The following is a 17132-nucleotide window of genomic DNA, read 5'->3' on the forward strand; positions in this document are numbered from 1 at the left end:
TTATGTGGTACATAACTGCAATATAGTACAAGCCTAAAAATCAAAACTCTCCCAATTTCTCCTAACAGTGTGTAGTGTCTGTCCAATGCTGTGATTAAGGACATGATCTTACAGGAATGGTGGCTCATACCTATAATCCCAGCACTTTGGGAGGCCAAGGTGGGAGGATCACTTGAGCCCTGGAGTTTGAGATTAGCCTGGGCAACATAGTGACACCCCATCTTCATTAAAAAAAAAGAACATGGCCTTAGTGTCAGATCATCCTCAAATAGGGAGCAGGACCAACCTCATAAACTCACTGGCCATGTGACTTGGAGGCCCTGACCTCTCAGCCTCACTTTCCTCATTTATAAAATGGGGAGTCCTAGACAGCTAGAAAAGTAATATGAGATAATTACACAAAGTGCTTAGCACCAAAAGGGCCACACAGTTAAAGTGCTCAATAAATGGTATCTATTACTATTTGTATTATTTATCCAAAGATGTTTATGTTCTACCATGTTTACTCCTTAAGAAATCTAAATGATGGGTAAACTGGCTCATAATTTAGAAGGGATAAATTAGCAAAAGAGAAGAGAAACTCATGGGTCTTCAAACACACTCACCAAACCACTAAATAAACATTGTGGCCATCCTAACTGATAATTGTCTCAGCTACCCTACCCCCAACCCAGAGTTCCAGGTACAGCAAATGGTTAATGATCACCACAAGATTTCTCTGAGGCCCACTAAAATTTGGCTCAGGTCCTGGTACATTCTATTTAAGGATAGATAAGTATGGTTCAACAGGGGATGGATTCAGAAAAATTACTACCAGCCTCCTGGGCCTCATCTCTATAGTAATTCCATCTATTATTCACCAGTCAAATGCTGTGTGGCTGTTCGGAATTTCCATTTATACTGCTACCTCCCATTCCTATCTTCTTGTTTTAAGTGTCATTTGCTATGAATGAAGAACACTTACACAACTTAATTGAAGACAATGCAAAGTTACCATGAGATGTACCAGTTTTTTAAAGGTGTATTTCAATGAATTCTACCTGGTGGCAAAACCAATACCCAGGAAGTTCTATGAGCTGGAAAAAGGAAGCCACAGAAATGTAGCCACCCTTTTAAAGTCAATTCAGAACAGCTGTCCAGCATGCATACTTTGCATCACATAAGCTTGGGATTATTAGACTTAGTTCATTCTTGGGCTTTAGAAGCCTGGAATTATTAGACTTCGTTCATTCTTGGGGTTTAGAAGAGTCATCAAACTTTAGATTGTTTCCAGAAGGCTTACTTTCACTGTTACATTTTTTTCTCATATATTAATAGCATGCAAATATTTACAGCTACTATTGTTATAACTGCCTGATTTTCTTTATGATTCTTCTTCTGAATTTGCATTTGTAAGAATGGATTCCAACATTAAAACAAAAATTTTATATCAAGAATTTTAAATCAAGTAACTGGTTTTCAAACATACAGAGTAATTCACTAAGAAGAAAGGGGTCCTTTACAGATTACTATGAAATATTATTTGCTAACAAGATAAAGAATTTTGTTGAAATTTGATAACATTTTACTCTGATTCCAAATTTAAGGGAAAAAGAGAGGGTTTTGGTGTTTTGTTTTTTTTTTTTTTAGTTGGGGGTCTCATTGTGTCACTCAGGCTGGAGTGCAGTGGTGCGATCATGGCTTACTGCAGCCTCACACTCCTGGGCTCAAGCAATCCTCCCACCTCAGCCTCCTGAGTAGCTGAGGCTAAATGCATGTGTCACCAGGCCCCACTAATTTTTTAATTTTTTTGTAGAGACAGTCTCACTATGTTGCTCAAGCTAGTCTCAAACTCCTGGCCTCAAGTGATCCTTCCATCTTGGCCTCCCAAAGTGCTGGGTTTACAAGCATGAGCCACCATGCCTGGCCCAGAAAGTGGCAATGTTGGAACAGAAAAACTCTATGCATAGTTTCTTCCATAAACTGGGAAAAGTCTATCATTATTTAAATTTAGTATGGAAATTTCAGGTCGATTCAATGAGTCTATGCTCCACAGGAGCAAAATTTGAGAATCACTGAATATGTAAAACTTTTTGACAAGATAAACACTGGTTATAATTGTGTAAGTCATCAATAGCGTTTGCAAAACACATACTAGGTAGGTACATCCTAGAAATAAAAAGAAAAACAATAACACAATTTCAAGAACTGGTGTTTTTAAAAAGGCAGGGGGTAGGGGAGAACATGGCAAGAAGAATACAAAAGTCATCTTTCAGGACAAATGAATTCACTCTCCTAATATGAGTTAGAGCAGCCATAGGTAGGGGGTCACCAGAAAATTCCTACCTGTAGGAATATTTTTTAAACAGACTTTCTTACAAGGGAATCAAGCCACAGTTGCAGGCTCATTACTTTAACAAATCACAGTGGTATAGAATGGTGTATTCAAAATAGTTGTCAGATCTAAGAGAGGATGGTGGGGAAGAATATAAGAAAACCTACACGAAAATAAGAAATGCTAATTTGAAAAATAAAATGCAAAGAAAAGCAAAGCTCTCCTCTTTCACTGGGAGGCTGTAGAGATGTGAGACCACCATCTCTGTGAGGGCACCTTACTCCTCAGATCAACCCCAACTCTGGCAAAGATCAGGAAACAAAGTAGATTCTCTGGAAGTGCTGAATATAGAATAAAGTCTTTCAGGTCAGTAAAAATCTGACATTTACAATGAAAATAGGCAACTCTCTTCAGACCAATGGTTCTCAAAGTGTGGAGACCATCAGCATCACCTGGGAACTTTTAAAAATACAAATTATCACACCCATCCCAGACCCAAAGAATCAGAAACTGGGTGAGGCCCAGCAATCCCCTATGATTTAACAAGCCCTCCAGGTGACCCTGATGCAGTTAAAGTTTAAGAACCACAGCTTTAGATAATGTCCAATTTTAATGTACGGATTATAAGATGTAGGTTCTCAGTCCTCGCTGCATATTCAAGTCCCCTGAGGTGCTTTTAGGTTTTACAAAACCCAAACCATACCAAAGGTCAATCAAATGAAAATTTCTAGAATGGATATCTTTAGAGCTCCCTCAAGAAATTACCATGTGTGGGTGGACTGAGAACAACTGCGTTAGGACCCGAGGCCCAACCTCAGCTGCTACGTCACCAACTGTACAGCACAGCCCTTCCTCAGCAATACTTCCCCAGTCACCCTCCCAAACCTGAAACATCTGAAAGCCAAGACAAGCACAGACTTACACTGAAAATTCTACTATCATAAAGTAAATATTTGCCTTAGATAAGAACTACAAACTCAAAGAGGTAGCTCATCAAAAGCAAGCTTCTGGGTGTGTGTGTGGGTGGGTGGGTGTAAATAAGCATGCAGTGACAAGCAGGAAACGGAGAGAGAAGGAGAAACAGTCCTGCATAGTCTTTTGAACCTGAGGAAATAGTGCAGTAGATGGCCCTGAATCCCAAAGAAAAGTATTCTTGGGTGTAACCTAACCACTTAGAAGCAGGGGCCCACCCTCCTTCTTTATCTTCCTATACTAAAGACACTAGAAGGCTGAAACTACAATTCCCAGACTCCCTTGCTGCTATGCGGCCTATGTGCCATCAATTAGATGAAATTGAGTGAGATTTGGCAAATGTTTGGGAGTTGGGGGGCACCTTCTGCTGTTTCTGCCAAGCACGCACCATTGCTGGAAGTGTCTAGTTTTCCTGTGGCAACCTCCTGCCCTCCCATGTCAGTGGCCACATGGTCCTGAAACACTCTCCACTTGGCAGGCAGCATTGTGACTGCACAGGAGGTCACTGCTGTCTTGGTGGCCTGCTCTGCTTGAGACTCTAGACGTCATTCTTTAGAGCTCAACCTCAAGTCTGTTTCTTTACCTTCCCAACAAATTGTGTAAGCCATTTAATATCCTGTAATAAATCTCTCTCTGCTTAAACCAGCTAGAGTAGATTCTGTTCTCTGCGAGTGAGCCCTGACTGATACAATCAGTAATTGCAAAAGAAAGTTTGGAATTCCCTAAAACCACAGTTACCATTAACTTGAGAAGAAGAAAAAGGTATCTCAAACTTAAGAAAATAATTTTTTATTGAAACCACTGAGTCACTCATCCTTCATCCTACAGTTTCCCTACGACCTAATAAATGAAGAGCAGTCATTATGGGAAAAGTTACTGAAATATAAATTAGTACAAAGACAAGATGCCCTGTTAAGCATTCTTCAAACCACAACATTTCTATGTAATCAGCTGGCAAAACTTCATTTCACTCAACAGTTGACTTATAAAGTATCAGACACCACAAATGTTAACCCACTGGGTAATTACATCAGCGAGTCATTTCAGAGGCACTAGAGATGTTTATCAGAAGGATTCAGTAGGTTGTGATGTATGTTAGATTTCACTCTGCTCTGTTGTAGAACATAAACTAGAAAGCCATCATCATTAAAATTCTGATATTAAGAGGCAGAGTATAACAGTTAAGAATGAATGGTGGTGTTTTAGCTGGGTTCTGTTATGCCAAAAGAGCCTGAAACATACTAGTTCTGGATTTTACTATTATTGTTATTAAGCTGACCTCTACCTGCTAGATGGGAGTAGCAACCCCTTCCCCAACAAGCTGCAACAACCAAGAAACTGTCTCCAGAGGTTGCTAAAAGAAATCCTCTTGGGGGCCAAACTACCCCACCCCCCAGCTAACAACCACTCCTTAGATGGTGATGCTCTACTTGCTCATCCATGCAACACAATCACCTATGGGAAAGCTGCAGTGTACTAGGCCCAGCGCCAGGCACCGAGGAGAAAACACCCAATAAATCAGAAACCCTGCCCCAAGCAGGGAAAGCTGACTTATCGACAAGTGGTTGGTACAAAATGTATGATGATACATGCTATCATAAGGCAGAGTGGCAGGAGAATTAATACACTAATTCTGCTAAAGTTGAGGGTCACAGAGGCAGTCTTTGGAGCCGGATCACTTATTATTAATTATAACGATAACAATGACCAGCTAACTTTTACTGGGTCCTTAACTCTATGCCAGGCATTATGCTAATGGCTTTTTATCTTATTTCATTTATATACTGTATCATTAAAACTCTTTAAGGGGAAGAGTGAGTAATATCCCCACTTTTCAAATAAAGAAGCTGAGGTACTAAAGAGTCTTAAATGAATACCAGTAGATCACACAGCCAGAAATGACCCCTGAGCTCAGGTTATTTAGACACTAATTATAATACCTGAAGGATATTCCCAGAGTTTAGCAAGCAAAAAGGGGGACTTTAAAGCTACCTTTAAGAATGGAGACACTGGACAACATTGTAATTGTAACCAATTTAAAATAAATTCTTTTTAATTTGGCATTATGATTCATAAATGCCCATGGCTCAGTAGAAGGCAGAAATGCCTAGTGCAGAATATTATTCTCCAGTATTTTATGCTGAATTCAGTCTCAATTTTTGTAAGCATCAAGGTTACAGTATAATTAGGAACCAGCTGCAATTGTAATTACCACGCCCAATATAATTTGTTACATATTAGCAAGTGTCAAATTACTACTGCTCCTTAAATGAATAAAAACTGATTGTGCTATTCTGAAGACTGGGGCTATGTTCCTGATGGGGAACAAAGGAATATAAAAAGTATATGACGTATTTATAAAGTGCTGAAAAGCTCTACTTAGGAGATCACAAGTTGCTGAAGCCCAGATAATGCCATAAAAAGTTAAACACTTCTGAGAGAGAAAAGCTAATTTAATAAATACAGAGGAAGAGGAAGCCAAAAATGAAAGGACAATAAAGAAGTTGCTTCCATTAAATATGCCTTACCTGTCCAAATTCCTGCTATCAACCTCATCTAACTGAAGCACGTCAAGAACCAGAAGGAAGCAAAAAGGAAAAGGAAAGGGGCTCTCTGCACAGCTGGAGGCTCATCTCAAAGACGACACACCATCTCACTTGAGTGAGCCCTCCTGGGCCCTATTCCACAGCCCACAGCTTTTGACATGACTCTAATGCTTTGCAAACATTAGCTTACTGACACTCTCAACAGCCCTGAGGAGTAGACACCGTTATGTCCATTTTACAGATGAGGAAACTGAGGCACAGAGAGGTTGAGTAACTTCCCCAAGTCACACAGTTAGCAAGTGGCAGAGCCCTAATTTGATTGCAAATCTATGATTTCAGCCATTATGTGACACTGTCCTTCAGAGGAAAAGAAAGCACAGTATTGAGCAGGCAAGAGAATCCAGAGATCAAAAGAAAATTAGGACACAAGAGTCTGATTTCTGAGCATCCCCCAGTCTGACCTTCAGGGCAAGGGCAGGGAGCTTCCCATTTCAGATACACCTGTGGTTATGACAGCCCAGTGCTTCTGGCCCTCCTTGCTGTTCCCGGTTCTCCTCCCTTCTCCCAACCTTCTTACTGGTGTAAGAATAGAGAGCCTTGGGCCTGTGTGGCCAGACTTCTGACCTCTTGGGCAACTGCAGGATGGAGACTGCTTGCCTTTTGAGCCTCAGCTCTCTTCCTCTTGTTCTCCTACGATGGGAGTACAGCAGCCAAACGGTAGAGAGCCTTGGGCCTATGTGGCCAGACTTCTGACCTCTTGGGCAACTGCAGGATGGAGACTGATTGCCTTTTGAGCCTCAGCTCTCTTCCTCTTCTTCTCCTAGGATGGGAGTACAGCAGCCAAACGGTGAGCTTAGTCCCATCCACTTCCATCTTCTCTTTTGTGCCCTTCATCCCTCTGCATTTTGTTCTTTTTGCCCTCTGATACCTCCTAGTGCCCTATCATCTCTACCCCCAGGGACTCAGGAGATCATGCAGCAGAAGCAGAAAAAGGCAAACGAGAAGAAGGAGGAACCCAAGTAGCTTTGTGGCTTCACTCCAATCTCTCTTGCCCTTCACTTGTGTGCCTGGAGCCAGTCCCACCACACTCGCATTTCCTCCTGTAGTGACCACAGGTCCCAGCACCGATGGCTTCCCTTTGCCATGAGTCTGCGGTGGGTCCCTTTTGTACTTCCTTCCCCTCAGGTAGCCTCTCTCCCTATGGGCCACTCCTGGGGTGAGGGGGTTAGCCCTTCCCAGTGTTTTTTATTCCTGTGGGGCTTAAAAGTATAAAGGTAGCTTTGTAATTTAAAAAAAAAAATAAAGAAAATTAAGACACATCAGTTGTAATGCATGAACCTTATATACATCACAATTCAACAACTATTTAAAAAATTTTAAGACAATACGGGAAATGTGTACAATGTGTACAGAACACCTATTTGAAGATATTGAAGAATTATTATAATTTTTTAAAGTATAATAATGATATTGTGATTGTGCTTTGAAGAAATCTTGTTTAGAGATACATAAAATATTTACAGATAGGATGGCTGAGTTTGCTTTGAAAAACATATGGGGATGAATTAGCCAGGCATGGTGGCATGTGCCTGTAGTCCCAACTACTCAGGAGGCTGAGGTGGGAGGACTGTTGGTTGAGACCGCAGTGAGCCATAATCGCGCCACTGCACGCCAGCCTGGGTGACAGAGCAACATCCTGTCTCCAAAAACAAAAATTTAATTAAAAAAAAAAAAGTAGGGATGGAAGGAGGAAAGAGGGCATGGCATAAATGAAACAATATTGAGGACATAAATTGATGATTACTACTGGCTAGATAGGGAGATGAGGGTTAATTATACTATTCCAGTTTTGCACTTTTTGGGAAATTTCCATAATGAGAAGTTTAAAAAATGATGCTGTTCTTTCAAGGACTAAGTCAAATGCCTCTTCCTCCAGGATTCTCCAACCAGATTCCCCTCATAGAATGTTTCCTATTTCATGAGCTTTGCAATGGAACATTTAAATCTGACTCCACTGCGGCCGGGCGCAGTGGCTCACGCCTGTAATCCCAGCACTTTGGGAGGCTGAGGTGGGTGGATCACCTGAGGTCAGGAGTTCAAGACCAGCCTGACCACCACGGAGAAACTCAGTCTCTACTAAAAATACAAAAATTTAGCCGGGCACGGTGGCACATGCCTGTAATCCCGGCTATTCGGGAGGCTGAGGTAGGAGAATCACTTGAACCAGGGTTCAAGAGGTTGCAGTGAGCCAAGATCGTGCCACTGCACTCTAGCCTGGGCAACAAGAGCGAAACTCCATCTCCAAAAAAAAAAAAAAAAAAAATCTGACTCCACTGTTAACCAGCAGCATGACCTCTTGTTTTCTCATCTGCTAAAAGTAAGAGAATAGAGAATAACAATTGAATGAAAACAGCACAACTTGAGACAATCTAGCAGCGCCTTGCTTCCCAGTTACTCTTCATATTCAGAGCAGCCTAGCTGATTGAGGCAGCAGCAGATACCTGACCCCTGTGGGGAGGTGATCTTGGCTTTCTGAACTAATCAGATTTCCTCTGAAGGCTGAACCAGCAGATTCAGGCTGAATTAGCAGCAGGTCTCTCTAGCTGATGATGTGGCACTAGTGAAGGGTCACGAACTCCTGGGGTTGAGCAACAAAAATTAAACTGGCTCCCTACCTTTCATCTTATACCAAAAGAACTACAGCTGGATCAGAGTTAATCTTTAAAAGGAGAGAGAGAGAATTTCAAAAAGTACTAGAAAAACGCACAGGTGGTTTCTTATGTAATGTTAAGTAGGGAAGCTGATTTCAAACATGACAAACTCAGAAGCCATATAATCCAGAAGCCATAAAGAAAAAAATGATAAATATTTGACATAACAATTTAAAAAGTGAATATAAATCAGTTAAACAACAACTGAGAAGAAAAACAACAACAAAATTTGCAATAGATAGGACAAAGGGGCAATGTTCTTCATTTACAAGCGCTCTTAGAACAAATCAATGTGAAAAGGCAAATAAACCAATAGAAAATTGGGCAAAGGTCAAGACCAGGCTCTTCTCAAGTTGCTGTTGGACACCACAAATGGATTAACTGAAATCTTCATGAACCACCATAAAAAAAGAATCTAGGACTGAGCTTTCACTTCTGGAACTGAGCTGGGAGGCAATGAAAAGATGTTGGCATCCTCAAACTCAGAATCAACATCAGCCTGCAATAAAATGAGTGTGTGAATTCTCAGAAGTGAATGAAACTCCTTGCCAGTGAGCACAACAAAGTCAAAGAAGAGACAGGATATCACCCTCTTGTCCTTCAAGCCATCTGATGACCCAGGGTACTACTGAGACTAGCAGGGCTGAAACAGCAGCAATGGAACACATTGTTTGGACCTGCTGGGAATTTTGCCCTCTAATGTACCTGGGCTTTTTTAATCACAAGGGAGAGTTTCTCTAGGTGCCTCCTTTTGAAGCAGCCTTTCTGTAGTCATAGAGATTCATCTACCTTGGGACAGCACAACCCCTGCCAAGGTCTGTTCTGAATTTCTGATTCTCCATGATGTGCTCACCTGGCGATTACCCATGCACAACTCCTCAAGTATTTCCAAATTCTCATCATATTACTTTGTTGGGGGATGGAGAGGATTGAGCAAATGGATTATTAGAAAAAGGTTTACAACAAACCACATACATGCAGCAGAAAATCTCCTTCCCCCTTTACTTTGCCATGTGTTGGCATGCCAAGTAAATGGACAATTCAACCAGCAGTGTCTGAATGCTATGCAACAGTTACTCTGAGGCATATCTGTGTCCAGAGAAGGTCCTTGTCCTCAAGAGTTCAAAATCTAGGAGGAAACAAAATAAATCAGCAGCAAAGATCACTTCCCTTCAGAACCTTGACATCATTATCTCACCCAAGCCATTTTTAAATGATTCAATAACTGTTATGGGCTGAACTGTGTCCCCCACACCTAATTCATATGTTGAAGTTCCAATCCCAGCCCCTCGGAAGATGACTGGCCATATATGAAGATAGGGTCTTTGAAAAGGTTATTAAGTTAAAATGAGATGATGAAGGGGACCCTAATCCAATAAGACTGGTGTCCTTATACGAAGAGGAAATTAGGATACAGACAGAGAAGGAACCACATGAAGACACCCATCTACAAGCCAAGGAGAGAAGGCCTCAGGAGAAACCAAACTTGCTGGGGTCTCCATCTCAGACTTTTAACTTCCAGAACTGTGAAAAAATAAATTTCTGCTGTTTAAGCCATCCAGTCTCTAGTACTTTGTTATGGCAGCCCTAGCAAACTAATACAATATCTTTTAATATGGTCCCCATATTCCAGCTGTTTCGATTCTTTTCTTTATTTGTTTTTAACCCAGGCTCAAGCATTGTATTTGGTCATCAGGTCTCTTTGGGAGTTTCCTTTATTCCAGCCTTCTTCATTCATAACACTGACATTTTTGAAGTCAAGCCAGAGGTCTTGCAGCATGTCCTACTTTCTGGATTTGTCTGATTGTTTCCTCACGATTAGATCCAGATTAAATATTTTTGGCAAGAACATTTTTAGGTTCATGTTGTATACTTCCCAATGCATAATATCAGTCGGTAACATAATGCTAGTTTATCCCATTTGCTGATGATCACTTGGTTGAAGCAGATTTCTCCATTGTAAAGGTACTTTTTCCCCTCTGTAAACAGCAAGTAATTTACTAGGAGATGCATTCAGACAATGGGAATTCCAACAGTCTTTTACTGAAAGGCTTCAGCATCCAATGATGATCCATGCCTGAATCAATTATTACTTGCAGGTGGCAAAGTCAATTTTTTTTCCTTTTTCTAATTCTAGCATAGCTTCTACCTTTATTAGCTAGCATTCTTCAGTAAAGAAACTTTATCAGTCTATTCTCCAACTCACTTTGGCTCCTTTTAGGGAGCAATAATTATCACTCATTATGTTGTGTTGGATTTTTTTAATTCCATGTGTTACAATCCCTTTCCAATTGATTTGTCTTCATTGTGGTAAAATATACATACCATAAAGTTTACCATTGTAACCATTTTTAAGTATACAATTCAGTGGCATTAAGTACATTCACAATGTTCTACATCACCATTACCCATTTCATCATCCCAAACATAAACTCTAAACCCATTAATATCCAATTGAATTTTAATTGCCATTATTTTTTATAACAATGATATATACTCATATATAGACATACATACATACATAATATGCATACATACACACAAGAGTGTGTATTTAAATAATGAAAATCACTTTTAACTCAATGTACCAGGAAGGGCAAATGTTAATATTTAAAGTTAGCTAATTAAAACCATTATGCAAAAAGCTGGTGGACTTAAGATAACAACATCTGAAACCACTGACCAAAACGTAACATCACAAGAAACAACCAAGAATTAGGTGCTTCCTCATGTGAGTACCCAGTACCAAGTACCCAGCAATGTGATGGGAAGCTCTAAGCACCATCTAGGAAGTATTCTAGCCAAAACCAAAAAAGACTCTAACTTGATCAAGCTTTTAGATTAAACTGTCACTTGCAGGAAATACTGAGGCCAAGCAACACCACAAAGACGTAATCAGCAAAGTCCAAATTGTGGGAAATTACAGGAAAGACGACCCAATTCCCTCATCAAATAAACTGCAAGGAAACAACCAAAAAGGGGGCAGGAAAACCTATAGATTAACAAGATTTAAAAGACGTATCAACCAGCCATGTGTGGACTATATCTGAATATTGATTAGAACAAACCAACTATAAAAACTGTAATCTTAGGACATGGGTTTTAGCATTCCTACAGGGACTTCAAGAAATGGGAAAATAGAACCACAACCCCTTCTGAAAACTGAAGAGAAGAACTCAGACAAATATATATATATCTGCCCACCAATACAGAGAAATGAAAAGAAGTATTTCTTTCTGACAAAGGCTAAAAAAAAAGAAACATTTCTGTCTCTGACTGACCTCTATGTTAAACAAACAAATAAACAGGCTCTCTTTTATCCTGCTACCCTGTTGCCATAGCTTTATGGCAAGAAATATGAACAGAGGTTGTTATGTCCCGTTCACAAACTGCTGTGAAGAATATGAAAATCGAATGAGTCTGGGGTAATACTGGGAAAGTACTAAATTAAAAGTATTGAAAATGCAGCCAAGACCAAGGAGATTTTAGCTGGCTAAAGAGTTTAAATTTTATTCTGCAGGCAACAGAAGCCACACTGCATAGCAAGATAAATTAAAGAGGGCAATGCAGCACACTGGTTATGTGCTTGGGCTCTGGAGCCAGGCTGCCTGTGTTGAAATCATAGCTCTCCTATTTACAAGCCATGTGATCTTGGGCAAGTTATGTAATCTCTCTGTACCTCAAAGAACTTAACTACTCTGTACAAATGAGTTTCTCGATGTATATTATGAAGGTGAGAGCACTTACATGTCATAGGATTGTTATGAAGATTGCATTAGTAGATATAAAGTGCTTGGAACAGTGTCCGGCTTTTACAAGTGTTATATAAACATATGCTAATATTATTATTATTATTTGCATAACCTTTTTGAGCCTTAGGTTTCTTTATCTGACAAATGAGGTTATCAACACGTTCCCTGCTACCTTGTAGATGATTATAAAGATCAAATAATGAAGCTTGGGTCTTTATATTATCTGGTTATATTAATCCCTGAAGACTTTGAGCTTCTTGAAAACAAATCTAGTAGCTTACCTGTTTTTGGAATCCCAGCACAGTGTAGGCACTGACAAACAGTCGTCGTCACTTATGCCCTTGAATGCACTTTTTAAAGCTGCTAAGTACTGTACCCATGAACACGGTAGTGCTATTATCATGGCAACAAGAGCCAATCTTAGAAAAGTCCTTTGGCAGTCTGGACAGAATGGAGAGGAAGGTGTAGGGATGAGATCAAAAGCAAGGGGATCAGTGGGAGCTACAGCAATGGTACAGCTACAAAATAAAGAGGCCCTGAATTTGAACAGAGAAGATAGGACATACATGCTCCATGGCCGTAGAAGGGTTTCACTGATCCACCTCTTTTGCCACATCCAATTCAGGCTGATGGTGTCTCTCCTATCTGCCCATAACAGGTACTTAATTGAACTAACTAGAAACTTTATCAGGAAAGTGAAGCTGCAGGATGAAGTCAGGAATGACCAAAAAGATGGATTCAGTTATAAGAACTGGTGAGTTCTAGGTCAGCAGAGTTTGAAATATCTTTGAGACAGACAAGTTGAGTCTTCCAGCTCAAACTAAACAGCTAAAAGTGCAGGGCTAGAGCTTGAGACAGCCACCCAGGCTGAGGAGTGTTAAGGAGCCAATACCCATTAAGGGGGCAGGTAGTGCGGCAGGAACTGGAGGGAGGAGACAATCTCAGGCACAGCCTTGGGGGACACTAACCTTCCAGGTGTCCAGGCAGAATGAAGAGAAGCCCACAAGGCACAGCACTATTCACAGTAGCAAAGACAGGAAACCAACCTAGGTGCCCATCAATGGTGAATTGCATAAAGAAAATGTGGTATATATCCACCGTGGAATACCTTGCAGATATAAAAAGAACAAAATCATGTCCTTTGCAACAACATGGATGCAGCTGGAGGCTATGATCCTAAGTGAATTAATGCAGGAACAGAAAACCAAATATCACATGTTCTCACTTATAAGTGGGAGCTAAACAATGGGTACTCATGGACATAAAGATGGCAACAATAGACACTGGGGACTACTAGAGGGAGGAGGGAGGGGAACAAGGGTTGAAAAACTAATTATTGGGTACTATGCTCAGTACCTGGGTGATGGGGTCAACTGTACCCCAAGCCTCAGCATCATGCAATATATCCAGGTAACAAATCTGTACATGTACCTCCGGAATCTAAAATAAAAGTTGAAATTATTTTTTAAAATGTACATTTAAAAAAAAAGAAAGTAAGACCCTTTGTTAGATTCAGAAAAAGTGAAAGATTTCTAGATTTTTGCTAAAGTAATGCTTCTCAAAAGGTGCAGCATTAGTGCTGGACCTACATATACCTGACCTGTACAGGGAAGGGAAAAACACTACATTTTTGGCCAAAATTCCTCATTGGTAAACTAGTACATTCTGTTTTGAAGATTAGGGTAAAGTGTACTATCATTCTATATGCATATGTCATGCTGCTAAACACTAAAATAAAAATATATCTTTGCTGGGAAGAAAGAAGACGAAAGAAGAAAGAAGAAGGAAGGAGAAGGAGGAGGAAGAAGGAGGAAGGAAGGAGGAGAAAGGATGAAGGACGAAGAAGAAGGAAGAAGAAGAAGAAGCCTGCAAAGGAGAATAAAGGGGTAATATGAGATGCTAGAGGCCAATAATGAGAGGGGACATCATGAAAGCAGATGGCGAGAAAGAAAGGGTAGGACACAGGGTCATGTGAGGCCAGAAATGAGGACAAGCCAACAGGTTTAGAACTGAGGTTACTGGTGACTTTTAGGAGAAGGACATTTAATTTAGTTCATTTCACCCAATTAGAGGGTCTGTCTGGTTAAACAGGCCATGAAAATAGAGTTTGCTCAGTAGCTGTTAAATACTTTGCTAAAGGAATTGTATCACTACACAAAGGCATATCCCCCTCCTTACCTCCAAGCAGAACCAACACATGTCTCAGCGTCACACATTCCTCTGTTGCAAGGTCCACCCTAAGGCAAACCCACAGAGTCTTATGAGGAAATCTGTAGGTGTTTATGAGGCAGCAAATGCCAACCAGAGAGGAGGAAGCGCTCAGCAGGAATGCCATAATAGATAATCCTCACACATAGTGGAGAACAAAGGGAGGAATGGTTCCCTCTAAGAATTCATCAAAAGCAGAGACTGGTCATGGGACTAAAGGTCTAAGAGACCAAAGCACAGAGGAGTCAGAGCTCCTCGGACAATCTTCTAAAAGAACTCAATATCCAAAAAAGACCTGCTCCCTGACTTTTTTACGCTACATATCACCTTTCAACTCTCCCCACACCTTTCCAACCCTCTATTTGCTGTGAAGCCATATGACCTAAGCCAGGGAACACTGGCACCACATGGCCCTGGATGAGGTTAGCCCAGGAGAGGGCTCTGAGACCAGGTTTGCTCTTTGTAATGCTTCCCTCCTCCAGCACCTTCTCTGATCACAAAAAACCACTGAGACTCTGCAGGAGACAAATGGAGCTTTCAGTCAAGTTTGGGATTAAAACCTCTATTCCAGGATTATCACAAAACTGTATAAACTTGATGCCTAAGCACCCTGGAGACACCAGGCAGGACTAAGACAAAGCTGTCAAGAAAGAAGAGAAATTTGGAGAAACCCCTACATACCCCTCCTTTGAACTGACACACCAGGGACTTTAACTTAATCTCACTGCATTCCATTCTTACTCCAAGAAGGAGCCAGCAGGTCTCTTGAAGCAATGTGCACCAAAATAACAGTGGTTGTCAAGCTTTCAAAAATCCTGAGGCTCAGGCCACACCCAAGTCCAATTCAATCATGATCTCTGGAGGGAGACCCAGGCATCAGCAGTTTTTTATACCAGTCCAGAAGACTTCAGTATGTAGGGAATCACTGGCCTAGAGCAGTGCCAAAAGCAAAGGCATTCATGGGAATTTGGACCAATAACAAATGTTTCTGGGACTCCATTTCTAGGACTCTCCTGGTAAAAGGGGACAGGACTGAGGAAGGAAAGAGTAAAGATCATTGTGTTAACATAAATTCCAAGGCCATCCAGCTCCAACAAGATAAGAACCCCTAAAACCCAAACAGTGGAGCCATAGATATTTGTTTTAATAATCATCATCATGGTAGCATAAAAACAACTCAAACCTTCTTTCCTCCATTCCTAGCACAAAAACTGATTTGTTTTATTATGATATCACCAAATACTTAGTAGAGTTTTTACATAGGGGAGAAAAAACCCTGCCATTTGAAGAATATCTTTAATAACCTCAATATATTTTATCCTCAATGACAAACCTCTGAAGAGGGTTTTATGATGGGTGAACAATGTGGAAGACATGGAGGTTAAATATACAGCCCAAAGCCTGGGCGACATAGCAAGACCCCCGTCTCTACAAAAAAAAAAAAAATTTTAATTAGCTGGGTGTGGTGGTGTGTGCCTGAGGTCCTAGCTATTCAGGAGGCTGCGGTGGGAGGATCTCTTGTATCCACGAGGTCTAGGCTAGAGTGAGCAATAATCACACCACTGCACTTCCACCTGGGTGAGAGAGTGAGACCCTGTCCCAAATATATATATATATATTATAGTCCAAATCCTAATGGAAACTGGATTAAAGGTATATGACAGTGGTGACAGTTACACAACTCTGTGCATATATTGAAAACCAATAAATCATATGCTTTAAATGGGTAAATTGTATAGTACTTGAATTATATCTCAATAAAGCAATTAAATAAAAGGTATATGACAATTCCTGTCCTGCAGGGATTTGCGATCTGGTTGGAGAGATGAGAAATACACTTAATAAACACTGAAATGAAGCATATACAGAGTGACAAAGGTGTTCTAAGATAAGAACTACTGGACTGGGATGATCAGGAAATATACACATCCATACCCGATGGCATGTGAACTCTCACACATACACCTTCGCAAATGGAACTCTTGGTAAGACCTGGGAGAGCAGCGCAGAGGTTAAGAGCAGAGACTCTGAAGACACATTGGCAAGGTTCAAATCAAGACTGTAGCACTTACCTGTTGCACAAGCGTGAGAAATTACTTAACCTCCCCTAACTCAGTTTTCTCACCTGTAAGTTGAAGTCAAAAACAGAAAGCACCTACTTCTTAGAATTAAGAAAATTAATTGAGTTACTATTTGTAAGGCTCTTGGAAAAGTACCTGGCATGCAAAAAGCACTAGGTAAGGCAGTTCTCAAATAAAAGTCTGGTTTACACTGAGACACCTACCCCTCTCCTAAGTCATCTCCCACACCTCTCCCATATACTTTATTCTCCACCACACTAAACTACCAGGCACACATGGTGGACAGAGTGAGGCCACAGCTGCTGGAGCCAGACTGGCAGGATTTGAACCCCAGCTCGATAATTTCCTAATTATCCGATCTTTTTTATTTTATTTTATTTTTTTGAGACAGAGTCTTGCTCTGTCACCCAGGCTGGAGTGCAATGGCACGACGTCAGCTCACTGCAACCTCCGCCTCCCAGGTTGAAGCAAATTCCCCTACCTCAGCCTCCCGAGCAGCTGAGATTACAAGAATGCACCACTATGCCCGGCTAATTGTTTCCTATTTT

General features: G+C 40.8%; 1 protein-coding gene across 5 annotated transcripts in view, besides 1 other annotated feature; it reads right to left on the reverse strand.

The window, feature by feature from the left end:
• The window catches only part of SLC25A13 (solute carrier family 25 member 13), a 201879-nt gene that overhangs the window by 179800 nt on the left and 4947 nt on the right, over positions 1-17132 (reverse strand). The window contains exon 2 of one of the 5 annotated variants that reach the window (XM_047419712.1): positions 9519-9672. The exons of the other annotated variants lie outside the window; for them this stretch is intronic. Coding sequence (XP_047275668.1) covers positions 9519-9566 — 48 coding nt within the window. The 5' untranslated portion in view covers positions 9567-9672. The remainder of the gene's footprint in view (positions 1-9518; positions 9673-17132) is intronic. 5 annotated transcript variants of the gene reach the window in all.
• Positions 14248-14910: an enhancer, noted in NCBI's record as "NANOG-H3K27ac hESC enhancer chr7:95943579-95944241 (GRCh37/hg19 assembly coordinates)". NCBI's record gives its function as "activates a minimal SCP1, AML or CMV promoter by ChIP-STARR-seq in naive H9 embryonic stem cells {active_cell/tissue: H9 hESC(naive)}" and the evidence as "EXISTENCE:reporter gene assay evidence [ECO:0000049][PMID:30033119]".

This window comes from Homo sapiens, chromosome 7, assembly GCF_000001405.40.
Source record: "Homo sapiens chromosome 7, GRCh38.p14 Primary Assembly".
Taxonomy (NCBI): Eukaryota; Metazoa; Chordata; class Mammalia; order Primates; family Hominidae; genus Homo; species Homo sapiens.